The sequence below is a fragment of the Homo sapiens genome, chromosome 15 (assembly GCF_000001405.40).
Source record: "Homo sapiens chromosome 15, GRCh38.p14 Primary Assembly".
Lineage (NCBI taxonomy): Eukaryota > Metazoa > Chordata > Mammalia > Primates > Hominidae > Homo > Homo sapiens.
Window position 1 is genome coordinate 32,717,510 of NC_000015.10, and position 27,597 is coordinate 32,745,106.

At 42.0% G+C, this 27,597-nt stretch overlaps 1 protein-coding gene and 1 long non-coding RNA gene across 5 annotated transcripts, besides 4 other annotated features; one reads left to right on the plus strand and one right to left on the minus strand.

Annotated features, from left to right (window-relative positions):
- Window positions 1–501: an enhancer, noted in NCBI's record as "H3K4me1 hESC enhancer chr15:33009711-33010211 (GRCh37/hg19 assembly coordinates)". NCBI's record gives its function as "activates a minimal SCP1, AML or CMV promoter by ChIP-STARR-seq in naive H9 embryonic stem cells {active_cell/tissue: H9 hESC(naive)}" and the evidence as "EXISTENCE:reporter gene assay evidence [ECO:0000049][PMID:30033119]".
- GREM1 (gremlin 1, DAN family BMP antagonist) lies at window positions 495–27,597 on the plus strand. Of its 4 annotated transcripts, none has more exons than NM_001191323.2 (3): window positions 495–652; window positions 13,181–13,295; window positions 13,419–17,156. In NM_001191323.2, the coding sequence occupies exons 2-3, from the start codon at window positions 13,182–13,184 to the stop codon at window positions 13,734–13,736; spliced, it is 432 nt and encodes a 143-aa protein (NP_001178252.1). In that variant the 5' UTR covers window positions 495–652; window position 13,181; the 3' UTR covers window positions 13,737–17,156. The 4 variants fall into 4 exon arrangements, with proteins under 4 accessions (NP_001178252.1, NP_001178251.1, NP_037504.1 ...); NM_001191322.2 differs by having other exon boundaries at window positions 13,181–13,208; NM_013372.7 differs by having other exon boundaries at window positions 13,181–27,597.
- GREM1-AS1 (GREM1 antisense RNA 1) lies at window positions 592–1,356 on the minus strand. Its single transcript, NR_109767.1, has 2 exons — window positions 1,036–1,356; window positions 592–855 (listed from the first exon to the last, which is right to left on the minus strand). It is a non-coding gene; the product is annotated as a GREM1 antisense RNA 1 (long non-coding RNA).
- Window positions 639–1,217: an enhancer, noted in NCBI's record as "H3K27ac-H3K4me1 hESC enhancer chr15:33010349-33010927 (GRCh37/hg19 assembly coordinates)". NCBI's record gives its function as "activates a minimal SCP1, AML or CMV promoter by ChIP-STARR-seq in naive H9 embryonic stem cells {active_cell/tissue: H9 hESC(naive)}" and the evidence as "EXISTENCE:reporter gene assay evidence [ECO:0000049][PMID:30033119]".
- Window positions 1,218–1,795: an enhancer, noted in NCBI's record as "H3K27ac-H3K4me1 hESC enhancer chr15:33010928-33011505 (GRCh37/hg19 assembly coordinates)". NCBI's record gives its function as "activates a minimal SCP1, AML or CMV promoter by ChIP-STARR-seq in naive H9 embryonic stem cells {active_cell/tissue: H9 hESC(naive)}" and the evidence as "EXISTENCE:reporter gene assay evidence [ECO:0000049][PMID:30033119]".
- Window positions 13,357–13,896: an enhancer, noted in NCBI's record as "H3K4me1 hESC enhancer chr15:33023067-33023606 (GRCh37/hg19 assembly coordinates)". NCBI's record gives its function as "activates a minimal SCP1, AML or CMV promoter by ChIP-STARR-seq in primed H9 embryonic stem cells {active_cell/tissue: H9 hESC(primed)}" and the evidence as "EXISTENCE:reporter gene assay evidence [ECO:0000049][PMID:30033119]".

Genomic DNA, 27,597 nt, shown 5'->3' on the forward strand with positions numbered 1-27,597 from the left:
AGCATCCCGCAGTCCCGTTCCCTCCAGAGGGGAAGAATGGCCGAATCTGGCACGATCCCACGGAGATCTCGCTCTTCCCAGCGCAGTCTCCGCTACTGAGCGCGGGACCAACGCAGGCGATGCCGGGCGGCCGACAGGGAAAGCCCAGACCTGGGGCAGAGAAGGAATGAGGGGCCGCCAGCCGGGGGGATTTCCTCCCGCTCTTCCCTCTCCAACGGGAGCGGAAAATGTGATTTGCTGTGCATTCCAGGCGCGGTTCCCTGGGGTGACCTCTCCCAGCCGGCCCGGGCGGGGGGAGCAGACAAAGAGGCGAGGCGGGCGGAGAGGGGACCCCGCGGGGAAGCAGGAGGGGTGCGGGGGGCGGGGGCAGTACCGGGAAAGGGGGCGGATAGCGGGTCTGGCGGCGGCGGCGGCGCCTGGCCAATGGAGAGGCGCGGCCCCGGGCGCCGCGCTCTGCCGCCGGCATTTAAACGGGAGACGGCGCGATGCCTGGCACTCGGTGCGCCTTCCGCGGACCGGGCGACCCAGTGCACGGCCGCCGCGTCACTCTCGGTCCCGCTGACCCCGCGCCGAGCCCCGGCGGCTCTGGCCGCGGCCGCACTCAGCGCCACGCGTCGAAAGCGCAGGCCCCGAGGACCCGCCGCACTGACAGGTGAGCGCGGACGCACCCGGCAGGGATGTGAGTGGGCGGAGGGAAGAGGGCCGCAAACCAACCCAGGACCCGCTCAGTTCCACGCGCGGCAGCCCTCCGTGCGCGCAGGCTCGGGTGCGTTGTTCGCGGGGGTGAATTGTGAAGAACCATCGCGGGGTCCTTCCTGCTGAGGCCGCGGACACCGTGACCTCGCTGCTCTGGGTCTGCAGGGAAACGTAGGAAAAAAAGTTGTCAGGAGCGGGCAGGATGACCCCCACATCCCGTTTCCACCTCCCGGAGGCCCCCGAACACGCTCCTGGTGCTGGTGGCAGCAGCGCCTGGCAGACGCGCCCGCTTAGCGAGGGCGCGAAGTCCAGGCCGCCAGAGCGCAGGAGCATCCGGACCTGCTAGTCGGCCGCTGACTGCGCGGCGAGTTGCCTTGAGAGGGTCCCATGTGCTTGGGGCGCCGCGCTGGGTCTGGGGGCGTCTTGGGGCGCCCATTGGAGTCCGCGGGTTGGAGCATCCGGAGAATCCATGATGTGTGCATTTGCCGATCCCCGAGGTGAGATGGAGACTGGCAAGGGCAGAGCCGCTGTGTTCAGCCACAGCGGAAAACCGAACGGTGGGTAATCCGACAGCTGCGGTGCGGGGCGCGGCCCTGGCCGCGGGGTCCAGCGAACCCGCAGTGCTCACAAGGCAGACACCACACGCGCTCGCGGACCGGCCACGCACTCGCGGGCGCTCGCTTCTCTACTCCAGCCTCTTCCCCGCCCCGCGCACGCCCGGGCTGAATGGTAGACGTTCTGGCGCCGGGCAGCGGCCACCGGCTGGTTCCCACTTCCGCGCGCACCCCTTAAACTGTGTTCTAGAGGCCCCAGCCTCGCCTTGCAGCGCCTCACTAGCTCCTGAGGACTAGGGACTGGCGGCTGAGGCGGGTTGGCGGCTGCAACGAGCTGGGCGTCTTTCGTTCTCTCTCGCTGCCTGGCTGGCTCCGCTGGCCCCTCCACAGCTTGCGGAGCAAGGCCATAGCAGGGGAGTGGGAGGTATATTGGGGCTGTCACCTCCTTGCTGGCCGGAGTTATTTGTAGACTACAGACTCCGGAAGAACAGACGCGCCACCGCTCTCGCTTGGCATTGCCTTCGGATCGCAGCTCCTCCTTGGGGGTGCCCCAGCTTGGCGTTTATTTGCCTGCGCCAGGCTCTGGCGACGGTCACCGGGCCAGGCGGGGAGGGACGGACGGCAGGTGACCAGCCTCTGCTGTGAAGAAATTCCTGCGCGCCCGGAGCTGTCCCTAATGCATTCCCGGGTCGAATCCGTCTACTGCCTTCCCCTCCTCGACCGACTCCGAATCTCGGCTCTTATAGACAGAAATACAGCCTCAGCGTTAGGGGTTAAAATCCCCCTCTTAAACGGTCCGAGGGCAGAGAGGTGACCACCGATAGGTAATTGGATCTCCTGCTGGAAAGAGCAAATCTGAGCGGTGTGCGCGTCTGTTTATGTTCCCCTTCGAGATGGTGCCAGGACACGAACTGATTAAAACAATCTATTGTGTTAAGTGGGTCACTAGGGTTTTAAGCTGTCCCAGGGACCCCAGAGTAGTGGCTTCCTTCTGGCTGTACACACAAGTTAAATAAATAGCGTAGAAGAGGTTAAGATAACCCCATTCTAGGGTGAGGAGTCCTCTTTCATCCCTAGGGCTTCCCCCTCCCCTTTTCTCTTTTTTTGGAAGGAGGGGGAGCATGAGAGTCTTGAGGGGGGGATGTACTTTTCAAAGCAAGGAGGGAAAGATCTTAAGAAAACTATATATTCTCACTGCCCCCCAAGCCAAGTCTATAACAGTAGGTGATTTGATTACTATCTCTGGATAAATGGCACTGTCAAATTGTTAATATTAACTATTTCAGGGATTTTTAGCAGGGTAGTGGCAGTATGTGTGCGTGTGTGTGTGTGTGTCTGTGTGTGTGTGTTTAACCTCCAGGTCATTGTAGGAATTAGAGTCTTTTGTAAACTTTGTAATTTCACAGGTTTCCTATTTTCTTAAAAGTTCATTTTTAGTGAAATGTTTTGGTAACCCACGCTCTGTAGGAAATCCAGGTTGGCTAATGCGGTCTTTATGTGAGTAGTTACACAGGGAAGGATAAAAACCTTTTATGTCCTACATCTCTGAATGAGGGCTGCCTACCCTGTCTTTGAAACTAAGCCGAAGATGCCTTCAGTCTGAATGGTCAAGTATTAAAAGTGATAAAATGCAAAGAAATTTCATGCCGCAGACACCTCCCCCAAGAACTGCTTGTTGACAGCAAAGCTGTGGAACATGTTCCACAACAGAGAGTAAAGGACAGCCAGGAAATATAAACCTTTTATGTAAAGGAAAGGCAGGTGGGGGACAGTGGTTAGGGGAGGTGACTGCAGCCTCTAACCAAAAGGCAACCATCAGGCAAGTGCTACCAGCCCGTGTCTTCGATCTGCAAGGAATTTTCTTTAGTTTTAACATATGCTCTTAGAAATTCAAAGTACAACAGGAATTCCTGGGACAAGAGAAATCTTTTTATTCACATGTGAACATGAAGATACAAAATAGATAATTATTTTATTTATAGCACTCTTCAAATTGTATTGCATTAGAAAACATATCCATTGACCCACTGTTAAGGACAGCACTGGGTGTCAATAGGACAGTGGTTAAGGACCTGTGTTTGGGGCTAGATAGAATTGGGTTTAAACTGCTGGCTGGGCTAGGCACAGTGGCTCACACCGGTAATCCCAGCACTTTGGGAGGCCAAGGAGGACGGATCACCTGAGGTCGGGAGTTCGACACCAGCCTGACCAACATGGAAAAATCCCGTCTCTACTAAAAACACAAAATTAGCCAGGCATGGTGGTGCATGCCTGCAATCCCAGCTACTTGGGAGGCTGAGGCAGGAGAATTGCTTGAAACCGGGAGGCGGAGGTTGTGGTGAGCCCAGATAGCGCCATTGCATTCCAGCCTGGGCAACACGAGTGAAAACTCCGTCAAAAAAACAAAACAAAACAAACAAACAAAAAAATGCTGGCTTTCCCACTTATGAGCTGTGTGACCTTGGACAAATTTCCAACTTTTCTGAGTGTAGATTCCCTGATTGGTAAAAGGAAGATGATATTATCTACCTCATATTTTGTTATGAAAAATAAATGATAAAATTGGGTCAGAAATCAGCATAATGCCTGGCACAGTAAGGGCTTCAAAATAAAAGGTAGCTCTTATTATTAGTAATGGTGTTAGGAAAAGTAGCAATGTTATACAGAACCAGGATATATCACAGGGCAGTTCTGAAATTAAATCCTGAATCCTGGCCGGGTGAGGTGGCTCACGCTTGTAATCCTAAGCACTTTCGGAGACTGAGGCAGGCGGATCACGAGGTCAGGAGTTTGAGACCAGCCTGGCCAAGACACTGAAATCCCGTCTCTACTAAAAATACAAAAATTAGCTGGGTGTGGTGGCAGGCGCCTATAATCTCAGCTACTTGGGAGGCTGAGGCAGGAGAATCACTTGAGCCCAGGAGGCGGAGGTTGCAGTGAGCTGATATCGTGCCAGTGCACTCCAGCCTGGGTGACATCTCTTAAAAAAAAAAATCCTGAATACCACACTACGCAGTGACTAACACATCTTTCACTACAGAACAGAACCTGTAACTTGGCCGTCTCTCAGCAGTGCTGCTCAGTGAACATTTAATAATTTATTACTTTCTAACTCGTTTCTTGTTGACCTCAAGAATTGTACATAGTCATTAACTTTCCTAAGAAAATCTTTGACAAACATAGAGCTCCTGAGATATTTCACAACCAGGTGGTCTCCTCCCTGTCCTATGCAATGTTGGGCCCCAGCCTGATTTAGCCGACCTGGTCTTCAGACTTGAGAGGCTGTTTAGGGTTCTTACAACACAAAGGGGATGAGACTTTATCCTCTACCTGTCTGCCAACAAGGGATTCTTCTTATCTCCTTGGTGCAACTTGTCTGAAAAAGAAAGTCAACACAATTATCTTCTTAAAAGTTAAAGATCAAATTAAAAATAAGCTATAGTTTTCCCAAAGATTTAGACCTGAGAAAAAGGAATAGATCTTTCTAAAACCTGGCCTGCACTTAGAGCATTTGTAGTCACTTCCACTATTTCTTATGCTGAGAGAATAATTTGATGTCATGCCTATTGAATGTCTTTCTAAAGCTTGATTCATCAGGAGGAACTGACCAGAAGTCCATGCACAGACATTTGGCTTTCACTGTAATTCCTACTCAAAACTCCCTTTCACTGATTATGAGCAGGTTGCTTAGCTAAAATGAGAAATACAGCAAGAAGAGGGATGGAAAGAGCTGGCTTAAACTTTCCCAAAGACATCATGAACACTGGGAACAGGTCATACATATACCATTTTTATTTCTCAGTCCTCAGTATTAGAATATTGTGTTCCTAGAGGCTTTGTGAAAATTGGAATACATTGCCATGACCTGCACAGGATAGAGGTGGTTAATATGGCTTACCTTGCTTGTAGATGTTTACTCTTGATCCCTAAGGGAAACTGGAAGGAAAGCATGCTGTAGAGAGGACCTGCTTTGAGAGTATGTGTCCTCTGGGACAAGTGGAATGAAAGAGAGGATAGAGGCAAAGAGAAAAAAAGGTGGAGATGGGGTGAGACTTGCTGGTGGACAGTTGCAAAGAAAACTCATGATGAGAATAACATCACATTTCTTGAAGAAGCTGAACTGCATTGATGGGAAGTTGAGGCAGAGTTTGAAAAGAAGATATACTGTCTGCAAAAAAGAATCAACGGAGATGTCAGGTATCTTGATGCACCCTGAGTCTATGAGATGCAGCTTAATTTAATTTAGTGATATGAGTAGGCCATTTCATAAGTGGTGGAAATTACCATAAAGTGTTTGCAGCTAATGACGGCGCATGAATGATGTCATAGGAACCTAAGTCTGGATGAGCTATGGATTGAATTTTTACTATGGGACACCCTTCTACATGTTGCTGTGGAAAAGAATTGTCCTCAAGAAATGTACATCTTCTGCATTTCCTCTACATCTCTGATATTTACAAAGTGCACATTATTTGGTGATACTACAACTGGGATTTCAAGTGCACATCACTACTATTTCCTTCACTGAAGAATCAAGAGCAGTCTGGGGGTGGGGAGAGCTTGAGTGATTGACAAGGATGTGGCAGAGCCCTGGTTCCACTATGAATTATAGTTCTTACCCTGCTTACTGTCACTCATGTAGAGCAGCTAGTGTGCCTCAGAGCACTGCTGTTCTCTGAGAAGCTGAGGTCTCGATTGACATTCTTGAAGTTGGTGTTTACTTCTCTCTGAATAAACAAAGGTTGGCAACTCAGACATCTTACAATAAGTACTAAAGATTTTTGAAGAATAGGTTTTTAAAAAATGAAAAAACATTTCACTTTCCATAGCTAATAAATCTTATTTTGAGGAAAATGTACTTTTCTTTAAAAAAAAAAAAAAAGCCTGTCTGTCACTCTAGACCCTTTGGCTTAGAAGGTAGGCACACTCACATAGAAACAGAAAGTCTGTCCAAATTAAAACTGAAAACCACAGTTGACTAATTTTGAATTTATAGCTCTGCTGTTGGCTTCTGCGATAGTATTAATTTCAATGGCTTCAATTAGAAAATGAAACCCATAGCATTCCATATGAGAACAGGTAAAAAGTCAGGGACATTTGGAGTTTTCCAAGAAAAAGAAAGACAAGTCTTAGGAAGCTCTCTAGGATGGAAGGAATTTGCCACACTGAGAGTTAGACATCCAAAGGATAGCAATTGGCTCTTCTGCTCATGGGCACTGGTGAAGGCATTTTAAAATGCGAAGAATGGTACCTCTGTAAATCAATGAGGTTCATAATAATCATGCATTTACCAAATTTTTATAAGCACCTGCCTTGTGCCAGGCACTGAGGGTAAGGTGATGAATAAGCCCTCATCAACTGTCAGACTAGATATTTACTCAATAACAGATGTGAAAATGCCAAGAAGGAAAAGTTGAGTATAAAGAAAGCCTTAAGTTGGTTCAGAGAAATAAAATTGCATTTTTCGGATAGATGTTTATGGAATCGGCCTTATGAGGTAAACTTGTCCTATGCAGTGAACATACATTCCCAGTTAGTCTCAGATTGGCCTCTGTGATGACAAACTCAGAGGGTCCTGGTCTAGGAGGGGTGAATTTGTCTGGAGGCCATTTTCAGGAGGTATGGAGGAAGACTGGGGCATAGGCCTGGGGCCATCCCATGTACTCCTCCTCTGAAATGGGGAGCAACTGAATTGTGTTTTATTTTAGATCTTCGTCCAACTTGAATACCAGAAATTCGTGAAACCTTCTCAAATTCACACTATATTTTGAGACCAGGAGAAGGCTCCTTGAGAAATTGCCACACTGTCTTATCCTAGTCTCTGGAAAAATTCAGTCCTGTATTATAACTGGGCGTTTCTCATAAGTGCTTTTTTTTTTTCTTTTTCTTTTTATAATACTTTAAGTTCTGGGATACATGTGCAGAATGTGCAGGTTTGTTACATAGGTATACACGTGCCATGGTGGTTTGCTGCACCCATCAACCCATCATCTACATTAGGTATTTCTCCTAATGCTACCCCTTCCCTAGCCCCCCACCCCTCGACAGGCCCCAGTGTTTGATGTTCCCCTCCCTGTGTCCATGTGTTCTCATTGTTCAACTCCCACTTATGAGTGAGAGCATGCGGTGTTTGGTTTTCTGTTCCTGTGTTAGTTTGCTGAGAATGATGGTTTTTGGCTTCATCCACGTCCCTGCAAAGGACATGAACTCATCCTTTTTATGGCTGCATAGTATTCCATGGTGTATATGTGCCACATTTGCTTTATCCAGTCTATCATTGATGAGCACTTGGGTTGGCTCCAAGTCTTTGCTATTATGACTAGTACTGCGATAAACATGTGTATATGTGTCTTTATATTAGAATGATTTATAATCCTTTAGGTCTATACCCAGTAATAGGATTCCTGGGTCAAATGGTATTTCTGGTTCTAGATCCTTGAGGAATTGCCACACTGTCTTCCACAACGGTTGAACTAATTTACACTCCCACCAACAGTGTAAAAGCATTCCTATTTCTCCACATCCTCTCCAACATCTGTTGTTTCCTGACTCTTTAATGACGGCCATTCTAACTGGCGTGAAATGGTATCTCATTGTGGTTTTGATTTGCATTTCTCTAATGACCACCGATGATGAGCTTTTTCTCATATGTTTGCTGGCCCCATAAATGTCTTCTTTTGAGAAATGTCTGTTCATATCCTTTGCCCACTTTTTGATGGGGTTGTTTGCTTTTTTCTTGTAAATTTGTTTGAGTTCCTGGTAGATTCTGGATATTAGCCCTTTGTCAGATGGATAGACTGCAAAAATTTTCTCCCATTCTGTAGGTTGCCTGTTCACTCTGATGGTAGTTTCTTTTGCCATGCAGAAGCTGTTTAGTTTAATTAGATCCAATTTGTCAGTTTTGGCTTTTGTTGCCATTGCTTTTGGTGTTTTAGTCATGAAGTCTTTGCCCATGCCTATGTCCTGAATTGTATTGCCCTGGTTTTCTTCTAGGATTTTTATGGTTTTAGGTCTTACATTTAAGTCTTTAATCCATCTTGAATTAATTTTTGTATAAGGTGTAGGGAAAGGGTCCAGTTTCAGTTTTCTGCGTATGGCTAGCCGGTTTTCCCAACGTTATTTATTAAATAGGGAATCCTTTCCCCATTGCTTGTTTTTGTCAGGTTTGTCAAAGATCAGACGGTTGTAGATGTGTGGTGTTATTTCTGAGGCCTCTGTTCTGTTCCATTGGTCTGTATATCTGCTTTGATACCAGTACCGTGCTGTTTTGGTTACTGTAGCCTTGTAGTACAGTTTGAAGTCAGGTAGCGTGATGCTTTGTTCTTTTTGCTTAGGATTGTCTTGGCTATATGGGCTCTTTTTTGGTTCTATATGAAATTTAAAGTAGTTTTTTCATAGACATCTATAGAACTCTCCACCCCAAATCAACAGAATATACATTCTTCTCAGTATCGCATCGCACTTATTCTAAAATGACCACATAATTAGAAGTAAAACACTCCTCAGCAAATGCAAAAAACAGAAATCCTAACAGTCTGTCAGACCCCAGTGCAATCAAATTAGAACTCAGGATTAAGAAACTTACTGAAAACCACACAACTGCATGGAAACTGAACAACCTGCTCCTGAATGACTACTGGGTAAATAACAAAATTAAGGCAGAAATAAATAGGTTCTTTGAAAGAAATGAGAACAAAGACACAATATACCAGAATCTCTGGGACACAGCTAAAGCAGTGTTTAGAGGGAAATTGATAGCACTAAATGCCCACAGGAGAAAGCGGGACAGATCTAAAATCGACACCCTAATATCACAATTAAAAGAACTAGAGAAACAAGAGCAAACAAATTCAAAAGCTAGCAGAAGACAAGAAATAACTAAGATCAGAGCAGAACTGAAGGAGATAGAGACACAAAAAACCCTTCAAAAAATCAATGAACCCAGGAGCTGTTTTTTTTTTTTTTTTGAAAAGATTAATGAAATAGACTGCTAGCCAAACTAATAAAGGAGAAAAGAGAGAAGAATCAAATAGACAATAGACACAATAAAAAGTGATAAAGGGGATATCACCACTGATCCCACAGAAATACAAACTACCATCAGAGAATACTATAAACACCTCTACGCAAATAAACTAGAAAATTGGGAAGAAATGGATACATTCCTGAACGCATACACCCTCCCAAGACTAAACCAGGAAGAAGTTGAATCCCTGAATAGACCAATAGCAAGTTCTGAAATTGAGGCAGTAATTAGTAGCCTACCAACCAAAAAAAGCCCAGGACCAGACAGATTCACAGCCGAAGTCTACCAGAGGTACAAAGAGGAGCTAGTACCATTCCTTCTGAAACTATTCCAAACAATAGAAAAAGAAGGACTCCTCCCTAACTCATTTTATGAGGCCAGCATCATCCTGATACCAAAACCTGGCAGAGACACAACATAAAAAAGGAAATTCAGGCCAATATCCCTGATGAACATTGATGTGAAAATCCTCAATAAAATACTGGCAGCACATCAAAAAGCTTACCTGCCATGATCAAGTTGGCTTCATCCCTGGGATGCAAGGCTGGTTCAACATACGCAAATCAATAAACGTAATCAATCACATACACAGAACCAATGACAAAAACCACATGATTATCTCAATAGATGCAGAAAAGGCCTTCGATAAAATTCAACACCCCTTCAATGCTAAGAACTCTCAATAAACTAGGTATTGATGAAACATATCTCAAAATAATAAGAGTTATTTATGACAAACCCACAGCCAGTATCATACTGAATGGGCAAAAGCTGGAAGCATTCCCTTTGAAAACCGCCACAAGGATGACTTCTCTCACCACTCCTATTCAACATACTATTGGAAGTTCTGGCCAGGGCAAGCAGGCAAGACAAATAAATAAAGGGTATTCAAATAGGAAGAGAGGAAGTCAAATTGTCTCTGTTTGCAGATGACATGATTGTATATTTAGAAAACCCCATCATCTCAGCCCAAAATCTCCTTAAGCTGATAAGCAACTTCAGCAAAGTCTCAGGATACAAAATCAATGTGCAAAAATCACAAGCATTCCTATACACCAATAATAGACAAACAGCCAAATCATGAGTGAACTCCCATTCACAAGTGCTACAAAGAATAAAATACCTAGGAATCCAACTTACAAGGGATGTGAAGGACCTCTTCAAGGAGAACTACAGACCACTGCTCAAGGTAATAAGAGAGGACACAAACAAATGGAAAAACATTCCATGCTCATGGATAGGAAGAATCAATATTATGAAAATGGCCATACTGCCCAAAACAATTTATAGATTCAATGCCATCCCCATCAAGCTACCACTGACTTCCTTCACAGAATTAGAAAAAAACTACTTTAAATTTCATATGGAACTGAAAAAAGAGCCGGTATAGCCAAGACGATCCTAAGCAAAAAGAAAAAAGCTGGAAGCATCATGCTACCTGACTTCAAACTATACTACAAGGCTACAGTAACAAAAACAGCATGGTATAGTATAAGTGCTTTTTTTTAAAAGACAAAGTAAAGTAATTTTTTTGTTGTTGGGGTAAAACAAAAGCTCTGCATAAAGAGCAGGGATGTTGTAACATACACTGACCAAAGGTGGGAAACCTACAGTTGGAGCAGAAGCTGAATGTCACATTATCAGCTCCGAACTTATAATGGTCTAAAAGTACTAGGTTAATGTTGGAAAGATGGTGCCATTTAAAGATATCTTAAATTCAATATTTAATTATTTTAATTTGACATTATCCTAGAGTTGAATGGTGTTTACTTACCATGTGCTGTTCATTAGAAAATCTAGATCCTACACTGCCTTTGCGCAAGGTAGTTGCTCTAATAATACCAACCTGTCCAGTTTTGGTGGGAGAAATAATGTTACTGTTAAGTTGCACTTAGTGGTTATTATGTGTAATACTGGTATTCCAAAGAGAGAAGGAAAATGTTTGCTACACAGCTGTGTTCTTAGGTTCAGAAAACCACAGGAGTGGGACAGGAGAACCTTCAGGATTCAGGTCCGATTGTTGTGATGGCCGCAGGAGGGAGACTGTGAATTTGAAACTGCATCCATTGAAAAGAAAATCCCTCCACACTTTAATAATTCTCTCCGTGCCCCATGGCAGCAAGTGCTTATAGGCCTTGCTACTCAAAGCTTAATAAAAAGGCAGACCTGCTGAATCATAATCTGCATCTTAACAATATCCCCAGATATTGTCTGCACTTTCTTTTTTTTTTTCTTTCTTTCTTTCTTCTTTTTTTTGAGACAGAGTCTCGCTCAGTCACCCAGGCTGGAGTGCAGTGGCGCGATCTCGGCTCACTGCAAGCTCTGACTCCCGGGTTCACGCCATTCTCCTGCCTTAGACTCCCGAGTAGCTGGCACTACAGGCGCCCGCCACTACGCCCGGCTAATTTTTTTGTATTTTTAGTAGAGATGGGGTTTCACCGTGTTAGCCAGGATGGTCTCGATCTCCTGACCTCGTGATCCGCCGCCCATCTGGGCCTCCCAAAGTGCTGGGATTACAGGCGTGAGCCACTGCGCCCGGCCAATTGTCTGCACTTTCAAGTCTAAGAAGCACTGTCCCAGGAGGAAAATCTTTTTAGTCTGTCTGAGGCTTCTCTCTTGCACTCTCCTTTTTAAAAATATGCTGCTCCTTCTCCACCTTTCCCTCTTCTTCCGCCTTTTCTGTCTGCCTTTACTACCTCCCCTGAACATTCAACTTGTAGAAGAGTTCCCCTTTCTCTGAATTGCATTCTTCACTTCATTCATTCTTTTCTCTCTCTGTCTATGGTTTCCTATTTTTTGTCGGTTTTCCCTCACCTCACCTCCTTGTTATTTTTTGCCATTGTTCACATATCACTGCCCTTTCAGACCCATATCTAGCTTCTGACCCATCCACTAATCCATTGCCACTAATTTATTCAGCATGCCCATGCCATTTATTAATGTAAATATTTGCACATACTTGTTCTATCATGCCCATTTTTCTACCTTTTAAATTGTATATACACAGACACATGTGAATGACATATTTCACTATTTAAAAGGTAGAAAAATGTATATCGTGGTACAAAGTGATACATTGAGTATCTGTGCCCAGTTTCAAGATGAGAATAAGTGAGAGGTGAAGCCTCATGAGTCACGTCACCTACACGCTACTGTCTTTCATTCCATCTGCAGTACTGCCACACATTTGGTTAGTTCTCCAATTGCTGTCACATTGACATCGAGTTGGATCTGAACAGCGTACCTGGGGAGACGAAGTATTGGTATCTTTGCTTAAATGGAGTGATTTACTGAGAGACAAAGTGACATCTTTAAGATCAGATAGCAAGTTACTGCACCAGGAGCGCGACCTTTCCTGTTTTGTTGTTTTCCCTCTGTCAAATGCCTTCTGGTCTCCATGAATCTCTCCTTCCACATATGATAAAAATGCAAAGTCTCATAAGCATTCACAGCTCAGGAAGCCTCAGGCTAGTTGGGGAGAAAAGACTGGGAGGTTTCCGGAGGAATGAAGTCCTCTGAGCAGAGAGGTTAATTCATCTTGCTGTAAAACAAAATAGAAAATAAGTTCCCCTCAATAAGTGAACGTAATACAAAGACAAATGTGGTTGGTGCCAGAGGCCAGGAAGAAGTTCTTGTGAGAATAGGTGCAGAGAAGAGCTAGGCCCTGGCTGAGTTTAAACCTTGACTTAGTCACTGTGGGACTCTGGGTGAGTTACTCCATGGATTGATGGCTGGGTCATGGAGATAATAGTACCTAATTCATACAGGTACTGTGAGAAGTAAATGGAATATTTCACGTTAAGTGTTTAACGGTGCGTTTAAATGCTAGGTGCTATTATTATTAATTTTTAAATTAACTTTGCCATGTTTTGTGTCTTCCCCTCTCTGTGCTTCCTTTCTTTAGTATGAGCCGCACAGCCTACACGGTGGGAGCCCTGCTTCTCCTCTTGGGGACCCTGCTGCCGGCTGCTGAAGGGAAAAAGAAAGGGTCCCAAGGTGCCATCCCCCCGCCAGACAAGGCCCAGCACAATGACTCAGAGCAGACTCAGTCGCCCCAGCAGCCTGGCTCCAGGAACCGGGGGCGGGGCCAAGGGCGGGGCACTGCCATGCCCGGGGAGGAGGTGCTGGAGTCCAGCCAAGAGGCCCTGCATGTGACGGAGCGCAAATACCTGAAGCGAGACTGGTGCAAAACCCAGCCGCTTAAGCAGACCATCCACGAGGAAGGCTGCAACAGTCGCACCATCATCAACCGCTTCTGTTACGGCCAGTGCAACTCTTTCTACATCCCCAGGCACATCCGGAAGGAGGAAGGTTCCTTTCAGTCCTGCTCCTTCTGCAAGCCCAAGAAATTCACTACCATGATGGTCACACTCAACTGCCCTGAACTACAGCCACCTACCAAGAAGAAGAGAGTCACACGTGTGAAGCAGTGTCGTTGCATATCCATCGATTTGGATTAAGCCAAATCCAGGTGCACCCAGCATGTCCTAGGAATGCAGCCCCAGGAAGTCCCAGACCTAAAACAACCAGATTCTTACTTGGCTTAAACCTAGAGGCCAGAAGAACCCCCAGCTGCCTCCTGGCAGGAGCCTGCTTGTGCGTAGTTCGTGTGCATGAGTGTGGATGGGTGCCTGTGGGTGTTTTTAGACACCAGAGAAAACACAGTCTCTGCTAGAGAGCACTCCCTATTTTGTAAACATATCTGCTTTAATGGGGATGTACCAGAAACCCACCTCACCCCGGCTCACATCTAAAGGGGCGGGGCCGTGGTCTGGTTCTGACTTTGTGTTTTTGTGCCCTCCTGGGGACCAGAATCTCCTTTCGGAATGAATGTTCATGGAAGAGGCTCCTCTGAGGGCAAGAGACCTGTTTTAGTGCTGCATTCGACATGGAAAAGTCCTTTTAACCTGTGCTTGCATCCTCCTTTCCTCCTCCTCCTCACAATCCATCTCTTCTTAAGTTGATAGTGACTATGTCAGTCTAATCTCTTGTTTGCCAAGGTTCCTAAATTAATTCACTTAACCATGATGCAAATGTTTTTCATTTTGTGAAGACCCTCCAGACTCTGGGAGAGGCTGGTGTGGGCAAGGACAAGCAGGATAGTGGAGTGAGAAAGGGAGGGTGGAGGGTGAGGCCAAATCAGGTCCAGCAAAAGTCAGTAGGGACATTGCAGAAGCTTGAAAGGCCAATACCAGAACACAGGCTGATGCTTCTGAGAAAGTCTTTTCCTAGTATTTAACAGAACCCAAGTGAACAGAGGAGAAATGAGATTGCCAGAAAGTGATTAACTTTGGCCGTTGCAATCTGCTCAAACCTAACACCAAACTGAAAACATAAATACTGACCACTCCTATGTTCGGACCCAAGCAAGTTAGCTAAACCAAACCAACTCCTCTGCTTTGTCCCTCAGGTGGAAAAGAGAGGTAGTTTAGAACTCTCTGCATAGGGGTGGGAATTAATCAAAAACCTCAGAGGCTGAAATTCCTAATACCTTTCCTTTATCGTGGTTATAGTCAGCTCATTTCCATTCCACTATTTCCCATAATGCTTCTGAGAGCCACTAACTTGATTGATAAAGATCCTGCCTCTGCTGAGTGTACCTGACAGTAGTCTAAGATGAGAGAGTTTAGGGACTACTCTGTTTTAGCAAGAGATATTTTGGGGGTCTTTTTGTTTTAACTATTGTCAGGAGATTGGGCTAAAGAGAAGACGACGAGAGTAAGGAAATAAAGGGAATTGCCTCTGGCTAGAGAGTAGTTAGGTGTTAATACCTGGTAGAGATGTAAGGGATATGACCTCCCTTTCTTTATGTGCTCACTGAGGATCTGAGGGGACCCTGTTAGGAGAGCATAGCATCATGATGTATTAGCTGTTCATCTGCTACTGGTTGGATGGACATAACTATTGTAACTATTCAGTATTTACTGGTAGGCACTGTCCTCTGATTAAACTTGGCCTACTGGCAATGGCTACTTAGGATTGATCTAAGGGCCAAAGTGCAGGGTGGGTGAACTTTATTGTACTTTGGATTTGGTTAACCTGTTTTCTTCAAGCCTGAGGTTTTATATACAAACTCCCTGAATACTCTTTTTGCCTTGTATCTTCTCAGCCTCCTAGCCAAGTCCTATGTAATATGGAAAACAAACACTGCAGACTTGAGATTCAGTTGCCGATCAAGGCTCTGGCATTCAGAGAACCCTTGCAACTCGAGAAGCTGTTTTTATTTCGTTTTTGTTTTGATCCAGTGCTCTCCCATCTAACAACTAAACAGGAGCCATTTCAAGGCGGGAGATATTTTAAACACCCAAAATGTTGGGTCTGATTTTCAAACTTTTAAACTCACTACTGATGATTCTCACGCTAGGCGAATTTGTCCAAACACATAGTGTGTGTGTTTTGTATACACTGTATGACCCCACCCCAAATCTTTGTATTGTCCACATTCTCCAACAATAAAGCACAGAGTGGATTTAATTAAGCACACAAATGCTAAGGCAGAATTTTGAGGGTGGGAGAGAAGAAAAGGGAAAGAAGCTGAAAATGTAAAACCACACCAGGGAGGAAAAATGACATTCAGAACCAGCAAACACTGAATTTCTCTTGTTGTTTTAACTCTGCCACAAGAATGCAATTTCGTTAACGGAGATGACTTAAGTTGGCAGCAGTAATCTTCTTTTAGGAGCTTGTACCACAGTCTTGCACATAAGTGCAGATTTGGCTCAAGTAAAGAGAATTTCCTCAACACTAACTTCACTGGGATAATCAGCAGCGTAACTACCCTAAAAGCATATCACTAGCCAAAGAGGGAAATATCTGTTCTTCTTACTGTGCCTATATTAAGACTAGTACAAATGTGGTGTGTCTTCCAACTTTCATTGAAAATGCCATATCTATACCATATTTTATTCGAGTCACTGATGATGTAATGATATATTTTTTCATTATTATAGTAGAATATTTTTATGGCAAGATATTTGTGGTCTTGATCATACCTATTAAAATAATGCCAAACACCAAATATGAATTTTATGATGTACACTTTGTGCTTGGCATTAAAAGAAAAAAACACACATCCTGGAAGTCTGTAAGTTGTTTTTTGTTACTGTAGGTCTTCAAAGTTAAGAGTGTAAGTGAAAAATCTGGAGGAGAGGATAATTTCCACTGTGTGGAATGTGAATAGTTAAATGAAAAGTTATGGTTATTTAATGTAATTATTACTTCAAATCCTTTGGTCACTGTGATTTCAAGCATGTTTTCTTTTTCTCCTTTATATGACTTTCTCTGAGTTGGGCAAAGAAGAAGCTGACACACCGTATGTTGTTAGAGTCTTTTATCTGGTCAGGGGAAACAAAATCTTGACCCAGCTGAACATGTCTTCCTGAGTCAGTGCCTGAATCTTTATTTTTTAAATTGAATGTTCCTTAAAGGTTAACATTTCTAAAGCAATATTAAGAAAGACTTTAAATGTTATTTTGGAAGACTTACGATGCATGTATACAAACGAATAGCAGATAATGATGACTAGTTCACACATAAAGTCCTTTTAAGGAGAAAATCTAAAATGAAAAGTGGATAAACAGAACATTTATAAGTGATCAGTTAATGCCTAAGAGTGAAAGTAGTTCTATTGACATTCCTCAAGATATTTAATATCAACTGCATTATGTATTATGTCTGCTTAAATCATTTAAAAACGGCAAAGAATTATATAGACTATGAGGTACCTTGCTGTGTAGGAGGATGAAAGGGGAGTTGATAGTCTCATAAAACTAATTTGGCTTCAAGTTTCATGAATCTGTAACTAGAATTTAATTTTCACCCCAATAATGTTCTATATAGCCTTTGCTAAAGAGCAACTAATAAATTAAACCTATTCTTTCTGTGTGTGTGAGCGTGCGTTTGTGTTTGGTAGTGTTCCTAGGGCAGAGGTGGAGCAGGGATGCACTTATCATGGGAAGGGAGGTAGAAAAGAGAATTGGATAGCCTGTGATCTTTGGTGGAATTTATTCCTTTTGCCTAGGCCTTTCAGACCCTGCTTGATTTCCGTAGGACACTTCAGGTTGTGGCAAGGGAGAGCTGGTCTGCAATCGGAAGTACCAGCCTCTTCCCTAGAGCACAACTAGAAAGAAGAACTATAGAGTGTTATAAGGGAGGCCCTGAGATGGAAGGACCATCACACAGAAATGATAATATCTTCATTTCAGGGTGTTCCAGGGGAAAAGCAGGAGAAAGATTTGGGGCTCAGTAGAAGGAAAAGCTTCCTAGTGGTAAGAGTGATTGGCAATACCATGAGGTACCTTTAAAAGATAGTGAACTCCTGTCCTTGGAAATATTAAACCACAGGCTAGATATCATTTAATAGGGATGTGAAGTAGAGTAAGTCACTGCCCTTGGTGTGCAATTGTGAACTTGTCAATTTCTGAGGTCCCTTTCTACTTAGATATATAATACAAGATTTCTATTAGGTATGGGTGCTCTGATGATAATGAAAATCCCAGCAGCTATGTATGGGATGGTTACACCAGACACTGTGCTAAGGATTTTCTTTGAATTGTTTCTCACTCAATCTTCACGGTAGCTCAGTGAGGTAGGTACCATTATCACTGCTAGAAAGCAGTGAACTTATATGGTCTTACTGTGGCACTGGGTCCTTAAACATTATGCAAAACTGTGAGCAACTTTTATCGGTTTGTTCTTTTAAGAACATAACACAGCACTCTAAAAATAGATCTAACTAGATTGTTCACATCTAGCGATTAAGGCCACCCTGAGATTATAGCTGCATCATCAGGAACCCAAGATCTGAAGCATTCAGTCAAAGCCTCTTGGCCACCTCTCTTTTTGTCATGGCCTTCTTGGACTTGGAGGGGGAGAATGGAAGCAAGTACCAAGGAGAAAGTGTTCTCAGAAAAGCCACACCCATTAGAAAAATACAAGGCCTGAAAGGTGTGAGTGGGACTTGACACGGAAGAGCATTTCAAGCTTAAGAAAAAAAAAAAAAAGAAGAATGTGGGAGGATGTCAGCAACAATGCTTGAGATTCCCTGGTCCCCCAAAGAGTCTCTCCTCCATAAAACTAATGAGAATGTGACAAAAATAGATTCAACTTCTTATAGCTCTGGAAATTAACTGAAGATGTATAGCAATTTGCAGAGCATTTATTCAAGAAAAAGACTAAATCTCTGTGAGCACTGTGATATTGTAACTTGCACTACTCTCATCTCCCCCTCTCCAGCTCCACAATAGCTTTGAAACCAACAGCCTGCAATTACCATGAAAATCAGCAGTCTGGCAGCCACTGAAGGTGACAGAATGGAGTTGGAGTTCTTTCAAAGTCCCATTCCTAGACAATTGTCACTATTTGACCTGTTTGGCAGGCCCTGGAAGCTCCACTTGCAAGGCTATATTTGACCTGACTGGAAGCTTCCCAGGGTAAAAAACTTTGTCAAAACAACTAGAGGCAATTGATTCTCTTTGTGGCTGCCTGGGGTAATGTATAACAGTTGGGGAAAGCAATTGGCTAAATAAAAAGCCTAAAAGGAGAAGCTGGAAAAAGAGATTTTCATAGGGACTTTGAAAAGCTCCAAAGTGTTATTGGCAATCTAGACTGCCAAATGCATAAATAGGACTCCATCCATGCCCAGGACTGTGCAGATGCTCAGGAAAAACCCAAGAAAGCCTTAAGCTCTCACTTCAAGCTGATCTTGAGGCTCTGCACAAGCCATAAGTAAAGGGAATGCAGAGTTGTCAATTGCATGGCGGAGTGTTGAGTGTGCCTCAGCATTCACACAGAGCTCCTTGGCAGAGACTGGTTGAATTATTGATTCCAAGTGTTTGAGGAAATCCGTGTACAACTATTAGATGACTACTAACCAAGCAGAGACTTCAGTGTCCACACACAACAAAAAATACAGACTTTACAGAATTAGTTCAGAAAAGTCATTAAACAAAGAAACAACAACAAACCCTGGGGAAATGACAGTACGATCAAACCATGCATGGCCCTGCCTGCATGTGGGAATCCTCATCCAAGTCATACTTTCTAAACATCATAAAAAGCCCAAACCAGTCTCCTTTCCTGGCTCTCTCAAGTCATTTTCAGACCAGGTTAGGAGACGTGAGCTGCTCTCCACAAAAAGCCTCATGTGAGTAATAAATGTTTCATACTCTCTTGGGGTGTGTGTAACATCATCAGTCTCAGCATCTAAACCAAATTTTGGTGACATTTCATCTTGTTTATGCAGATGTCCACCACACCTATAAATAAACAAACTACTGAAACTGATTCAAGAAAAAATAAAAATCTGAATAGAGCTATCACAAGTAAAGAGATTAAATAAGCAATCAAATAACTTCCCAGAAAGAAAAGCCCAATTTAGGATGTCTTAACTGATTAATGTTAGCAAATATTTAAAGAAGAATTGGTACAAATTCTTCACAAACTCTTCCAGAAATGGAAGAGGAGGAAACACTTTCCACCTTATTTTCTATAACTAGTATTACCTTGATACCAAATTCTGACAAATACATCAAAAATAAAACCATAGACCAATATCTCTTTTAAGTGTAAATGCAAAAAAATTCAACAAAATGCTAGATAACTGGGTCCAACAACATATGGAAAGGATTATATACCTTGACCAAGTGGGATTTGCCCCAGGAATGCAAGATTGATTTAACCATCAGTGTAATGCATCATATTAATAGAATAAAGACAGAAACCACACAATCATCTCGATACACGCAGAAAAATCATTTGGCAAAATTCAACACCCCTTTGTAATAAAATCACTCAACACACTAGGAAGAGAAGGGAACTTCTTCAACCTCACACATGGCATCTATGAAAAACCCACAGCTGGCCGGGTATGGTGGCTCAAGCCTGTAATCCCAGCACTTTGGGAGGCTGAGCCAGGCGGATCACCTGAGGTCAGGAGTTCGAGACCAACCTGACCAACATGGAGAAACCCTGTATCTACTAAAAATACAAAAAATTAGCCCGGCGTGGTGGCAAATGCCTGTAATCCCAGCTGCTTGGGAGGCTGAGGCAGGAGAATCGGTTGAACCCAGGAGGTGGAGGTTCTGGTGAGCCGAGATCACGCCATTGTACTCCAGCCTGGGCAACAAGAACAAAACTCTGTCTCAAAAAAAAAAAAAAAAAGAAAAGAAAAACCCACAGCTAACATCATACTTAAAGGTGAAAGACTGAAAGCTTTCCCCCAAGAGGAACTAACAGGATATCTGCTGTCACTATTTTTATTCAATATTATACTGGAGGTTCTACCTAGGGTAATTAGGCAAAAAAAAAAAAAAAAAAAAAAAAAAAAAAAAAAAAAAAAAAAAAAAAAAGAAAAGAAAAAAGTCATCCAGATTGGAAAAGAAATAAAATGATTTCAATTTTAAGATGACATAATATTGTATGTAGAAATCCTAAGGAATTTACAAAAGAACTATTAGAGCTAATACATGATTTCAGCAAGGTTGCAGGATACAAGATCAACATACAGATATAAATTGTATTCTACACACTTGTAATGAAAAATCTGAAAATAAAATTAAGAAAATAGCACCCTTTGAATAGTATCAAAAAGAATAAAATACATAGAAAAAATGTAACAGGAAGTGCAAGACTGGTACATTGAAAACAATAAAACATTGTTAAAAAATTTAAAATCATCAAAATAGATGGAAATAAAACCTGTGTTCATGGATGAAAAAAATTAACATTGCTCTACAGATTCAATACAATTCTTATCAAAATCCCAGGTGGCTTAAGAAATTGACAAGTTAATCCTAAAATTCATAAGAAATTGAAAGGGATCCACAATAGCCAAAATAATCTTAAAAAAGATTTTAAAAAGTTGGAGAACTCACACTTCCTGGTTTCATAACATACACCAGGCTGGGCATGGTGGTTCATGCCCATAATCCCAGCACTTTGGGAAGTTGAGGCAGAAGGATCACTTGAGCACAGGAGTTTGAGACCAGCCTGGACGATATAGTGAGACCTTGTCTCTACTAAAAATTTAAAAAGGAATTAGCCAGGTGTGGTAACATGCACCTGTTGTCCCAGCTACTTAGGAGGCTGAGGCATGAGGATCACTTGAGCCCAGAAGATTGTACCACTGCACTCCAGCCTACATGACAGAGTAAGTCTCTGTCTCAAAAACAAAACAAACAACAAAAATACTGAAAGCTTTCCCCATACAGGAACTAACAGGATATCTGCTGTCACTATTTTTATTCAATATTGTTCTGGAGGTTCTAGCTAGGGCAATTAGGCAAAAAAAGGAAAAAGAAGTCATCCAGATTAGAAAAGAAATAAAATAATTTCAATTTTCAGATGACATAATATTGTATGTAGAAATCCTAAGGAATTTACAAAAGAACTGCTACCCTGAAAGAATTGTTGTAAGGCAAATACCCCTGTAATTACCATTAGGGGAAGAAATTTTTCCATGCTTCACAGAAACTCTCCTTATACCCCACCTCAATTTTAATCTTTTTCTGTACCACTACAGTTATAATTCTCCTAAAGCTTAAAGCAATTACCTCCTTGTTTATATTTATAGTTTCATCACTGAAGTGTGCATTCCTAAACTCAACACCTTAGTCTGGTTGCAAACAGTTTAAATGAGAAAAGATAAGGCCTGAATTAAGGCAGCAGCCCTAAACCTTTTTCTATAATCCTGATAGTGATTACCACCTAGGGGATTATAAATGTTTGCTTCTTCCTCTGGCACCAACAAGTTTACTGAGCAGAAGTTTAAAATAATTGGATAATGGGGCAGGTGACATCAGCAAGATGTTGTATTAGCAAATGCTGGACCCTTCTTCAATCCACAAACACATCTATTCTGCAAAAATTCATGGCTAAATTCCTTTGTGAGGAATCCAGAAACTAAAAGGCTCCTGCACTCCCAGCAAATGCAAAAACCAGACTCACCAAAGCTGGTAGAGAGATTTGAGATACCACCTTGTCCGAATCCCTAACCCCAGCACAGTGCCATGTAGTCAGCAAGAGACTCCCTAGCACTCAGTTTCTCCCAGGTGAGAGGAGTTGGTTCACATATCCAAGACCTCCAACTTTTCTGAGGAGATTCCCAGAGGACTGGCTTCTATCTTGTCAGTCTTGGAGCTCTGACAGAATTGGTACTATCTAGCTACCTGGGGAAGGACAGAGACAGAGGTTTAGACCAGTAGATGACATGGCACCCTGCCCTCTACTGCCTCACCTCCTGGCTCAGCACAGACAGGACAAAAATCATGGCTACCTACATTTCCCTGGAGAAGGAATGATTTGTTAAAGGCCCCCAAATCACTGGGCAGACTTATTGGTGGGGGTCTTCTCCTCTGAGGCCCAGCTGTGAGGACTGGGACAGGTGACTGCTTTGTCTAATGTGCAGACACCAACACAAAGAGTCAAGGAAAATGAATAATCATACGAAGATGTTCCAAACCAAAGAACAAGATAAATCTCTGGAAACTGAGCTAATGAAATAAACTTATGTGATTTACCTGACAGAGAATTCAGAATAGCTCTCATAAAGATTCTCACCAGAGTCAAGAGAACAATGCATGAAAAAAGTTAAGAATTTTGACAAAGAGATAGAGTATATTTAAAAGTACCAAAAAGAAATGGAACTGAAGAACACAACAACTGAACTGAAAAAATTTATGACAGGACATCAACAGGAGACAAGATTAATCAGAAGAAAGAATCAATGAACTTGAAGACAGGTCATTGGAAATAATTCAGTTAGAGGAGAAATTAAAATGAAAAAGAGTGAAAAAAAGCCCAAGGGTCTTATGGGCAACATCAAGCTGAACAATATACTCATTATTGGCATCACAGAATAAAAGAGAGAAAAGAACTGAGAACGTATTCAAAGAAATAATGGCTGAACACTTCCCAAATATGAGGAAGAAAATGAACATTCTGATCCAAGAAGCCCAAAGGTCATAAAAAAGTGATCCCAAAGCCTACAGGCATATTATAAGTTGTCATCCTAGAGAAAGAAAAATATCTTTCTCCCAGCCTCCATATTCAAATCTTAAGGAAAATTCTTATGGACTTAGCTTGAGTTTCAAGTTCATTTCTAAAATCAATCATGGTGGCCAAACGGAATGAGCATTCTGATTTGCCAGTGTGGTCTCATGTTACCCCTGTGCCTAGAAAGGAAACAGGAGATGAAAAGCATGGTGATAAGAAGACTGGATGGCACCACATGGGATAGGGGGAAAGTAGTTGAAAAAAAATAGTTGTAAGGAAAAGAGATACAAGGAGTCAAAAATAACAAATATCTACTTAAAAGCCTTTTCCACATTTAATGTTTTTTGTTCACTGTGGTGTAGTAATAAATGTCTATACTTAAGGGGTGAGGATTGATATATTTAAAGTGAATGGTCTGGAAGGCAAGGAAGCTCATTCCAACAGATTCATGCTACATTGTTTAGTGACAAATAAGGGGAACAGAACAGAGAAAGTGATTTCAGCTATAAATATAGGAGATAATAAAATCCTTTAGTAAACAGTATCTAAGCCTTGTTTTTATGATATTGGGGAACAGTAACAGATCAAAGTACTGTAGTCTTCAGTATGCAGACCTTTCACTTTCTTAGTTTATTCCAGGGTCTTTTTTTTTTTTGCTGCTATTACAAATAGCATTGTTTTCCTAATTTTTGTTTAAGATAGTTCATCGTTGGTATAGAAATGCCATTGATTTTTGTATGTTGATTTTGTATCCTCCAACTTTACTGAATTTATTAGTTCTAACAGTTTTTTGATGGAGTCTTTAGGGTTTTCTATGTATAAGATTATGTCATCTGCAAACAGCAACAATTTTACCCTTTGTTTTCAACGTGAGCGTCTTTTATTTATTTTTCTTGCCTAATTGCTTTAGCTAGGACTTCCAGCACTAAATTGAATAGAAGTGATGAGAGTGGGCATGTATGCCTTGTTTCTGGTCTTAAAGAAAAACATTTCAGTTTTCCATTATTCGGTATAATGTTAGTTATGGGTTTTTAAAAATATATATGACCTTTATTAGGTTGAGGTACTTTTCCTCTATTCTTAGTTTATTGAATGTTTTTCTCATGAAAGTGTGTTAAATTTTGTCAAAACCTTTTTTACATCCATCAAATGATTATGTAATTTTTATCCTTTATTCTGTTAATGGATTATCACATTAACTAATTTTCATATCTTGAAGCATACTTGCATCCTAGGAATAAATCCCACTTTGTCATAGTCTTTGATCCTTTTAATATAATGTTAAATTTGGTTTGCCAGTATTTTGTTGAGGATTTTTGCATCTATATATTCATCAAGGATATTGGGCTGTAATTTTCTTTTCTTGTGGTGTCTTTGTCCGGCTTTAGTATAAAGGTAATTCTGGCTTCATAAAATAAGTTAGAAAGTGTTCTCTCTTCTTTGATTTTTTTGGAAGAGTTTGAGAATAATTGGCATTAGTTTTGTTAAATGTTTGGTTGAATTCACTAGTGAAATTATTTGGTCCTGGGATTTTCTTTACTGGGAGTTTTTTGATTACTTGTTCAATCTTTACGCTAGTCATAGGTCTGTCCAGTCTTTGTATTTCTTCATGATTTAGTCATCATGTATTCATGGGTTGTAAGACTTAATATTCTTAAAATGCCCATATTACCCAAAGTGATCTATAGATTCATGCAATCCCCATCAAAAATCCCAGTGGCATTTTTATTTACAGAAATAGAATAATTCTAAAATTCATCTGAAGCCACAAAAGACAATGAATAAACAAATCAATCTTGAAAAAGAAGAACAAAGCTGGAGGCATTATACTTCCTGATTTCAAAATATCCTGCAAAGGTACAGTAATCAAAACAGTATGTTACCAGCATAAAGACAAACACACAGACCAATAGAACAGAATAGAGAGCTCAGCAACAAATCCGTGAATATACAGTCAACTGACATTTGGCAATGGTGCCAAGCATACTCAGTGGGAGAAATGATAATCTCTTCAACAAATGGTGTTGGGAAAACTGAATATCCACATGCAAAAGAATAAAATTGGACCCTATCTTATACCAAAAATCAACTCAAAATGGATTATTTAAATGTAAGACTTGAAACAGTAAAACTCCTAGAAGTAAACAGAAGAGAAAGTTTCATGACATTGCCCTTGGCAATGATTTCATGTACATAACAACAAAAGCACAGGTAATAAAAACAAAAATAGACAAATGGGACTACCTCAAATTAAAATGTTTCTGCACAGCAAACGACCAACTGAATGAAAAGGCAATCTATGGAACAGAAGACACGGGGTGACATGAGACCACTTTGGCAAATCAGAATGCTCATTCCATTTGGCCACCATGATTGGTTTTAGAAATGGACTTGAAGCTCAAAGAAAGCCCATAATATATTCCTTAAGATTTGAATATAGAGGCTGGAAGAAAGATTTTTTTCTTTCTCTAGGATGACAAGTTATATATAATAAGCCTGTAGGCCAATATCTGCTGGCAGCCACCTTTCCCAGGTATATGGATGAAACTATCTGAAGGATGAAGCCTCCATTCACAGAAAATCAGAGCTGTAAAGGGAAGAGGATATCCTGATGAATTTTTTTCTTGGATTGAGCCATGTCTGAAGTCAAGCCAACTTTTGAAGTATCCTATAGTACTTATATATTGCTTGGTAACAAATTATGCCAAAATTTAGTAGCTTAAAACAACAAACATCTATTATCTCATGCATTTCTGATATAGATATAGGAGTGACTAATCTGGGTGGTTCTGGGTCAGAATCTCTGGTGAGTGTGTAGGCAAGGTGTCAGTAGGGGGCTGCAATTATCTAAAGGCTTGCCTGGGGCTGGAGACGCACTTTCAATGTGGTGTACTCACGTGGCTGTTGGTTGGAGGCCAAATGTGCTAGGCAAAGCCTCATGCACATTTCTCTGTAAGGAAACAAAGCTGGCTTACTTGGGGGCAGGATTTTTTTTTTTCCCAGTTGTTCTTCAAAATGAAGTTTCCCGCTCCAAGTCCCAGCCAGATATGTGAAAAACAATCCTTGCAGAACAACCCTATTAGCAGTTCTGCAAGGATTTTTAGGAACCGTATTAGCAAGTTCCTCAGTTCCTCACCATGTGAACCTCTCTTCACGACTTAGTAACTGGCTTCCTCTAGAGTGACTAATCCAAGAGACAGCAAGGATTGACAGCCATGACAGCACAGTGCCTTTCATGACTTACTCTCCAAAGTTACAAACCTTTACTTTTGCTTTATCTTATTTGTTAGAGCAAGTCACTAAATTTGCCCACATCTAAGATGAGGGTATTTGGGCTTCACCTCTTGAATGGAGAAGCACCCAAAAATCTGTGGCCTTTTTTTTTAATTACACTCTCAGTTACATGAATCAATAAATTCCATTTTTGGCTTAGCTTCTATTGGGTTTCTATCACTTGCAACCAAAGTGCCCTAACCAGTATCTACATCTGAGTCATTAAGAAAGTTTCAGACAGGGCTGGGCGCGGTGGCTCACACCTGTTAATCCCAGACTTTGGGAGGCCGAGGCAGGCGGATCACGTGGTCAGGAGATCGAGACCATCCTGGCTAACACGGTGAAACCTTATCTCTACTAAAAATACAAAAAATTAGCCGGGTGTGGTGGCAGGTGCCTGAAGTCCCAGCTACTCGGGAGGCTGAGGCAGGGGAATGGCGTGAACCCGGGAGACGGAGCTTGCAGTGAGCCGAGATCACGCCACTGCGCTCCAGCCTGGGCGACAGAGTGAGACTCAGCTTCAAAAAAAAAAAAAAAAAAGAAAGTTTCAGATATTATTGTTTATTGCTTTTAATCTAGTGAATTCATAAATCGTCACTTAACTCAAGCAAAACAATGTTACTCTCTTTGTACATTGTACAGATGCAGGATAACAATGCAGTGTTATCCTGCATCTGTACAATCAAGCACCCAAACTGGTTCTGTAGAGGCAGGACCTTAGCATATAGCAGAGATAACTTATCTTCCAGCAGATCCGGAGCTCCATTTTGTAGACAGAAATGAATGCTCTGTGCCACAGAAGGAGCTGTTGCACTATTCATTCCCGTTTCCTCCCATTCACTCTCCACATCTCCAATCCTGGCATTGTCTGCTTTGTTACTTGTTAAAAACTTGATTTCGTAGATTGCTTTAAAATAAGAACAAAATGTACTTTGACACACATCATTTTGTTTGGTTCTCATTAATTTTGAGAGAAAGGCAAGATAGATATTTAAATGACCCCTATTTTAGTGGTAAACAAGCTGAAATTAGATAAATAAAATGATTTGCCTAATG

Coding starts and splice junctions, on each gene's coding strand:
- GREM1 (NM_013372.7), top strand. CDS start 13,182: ATGAGCCGCACAGCCTACACGGTGGGAGCCCTGCTTCTCCTCTTGGGG.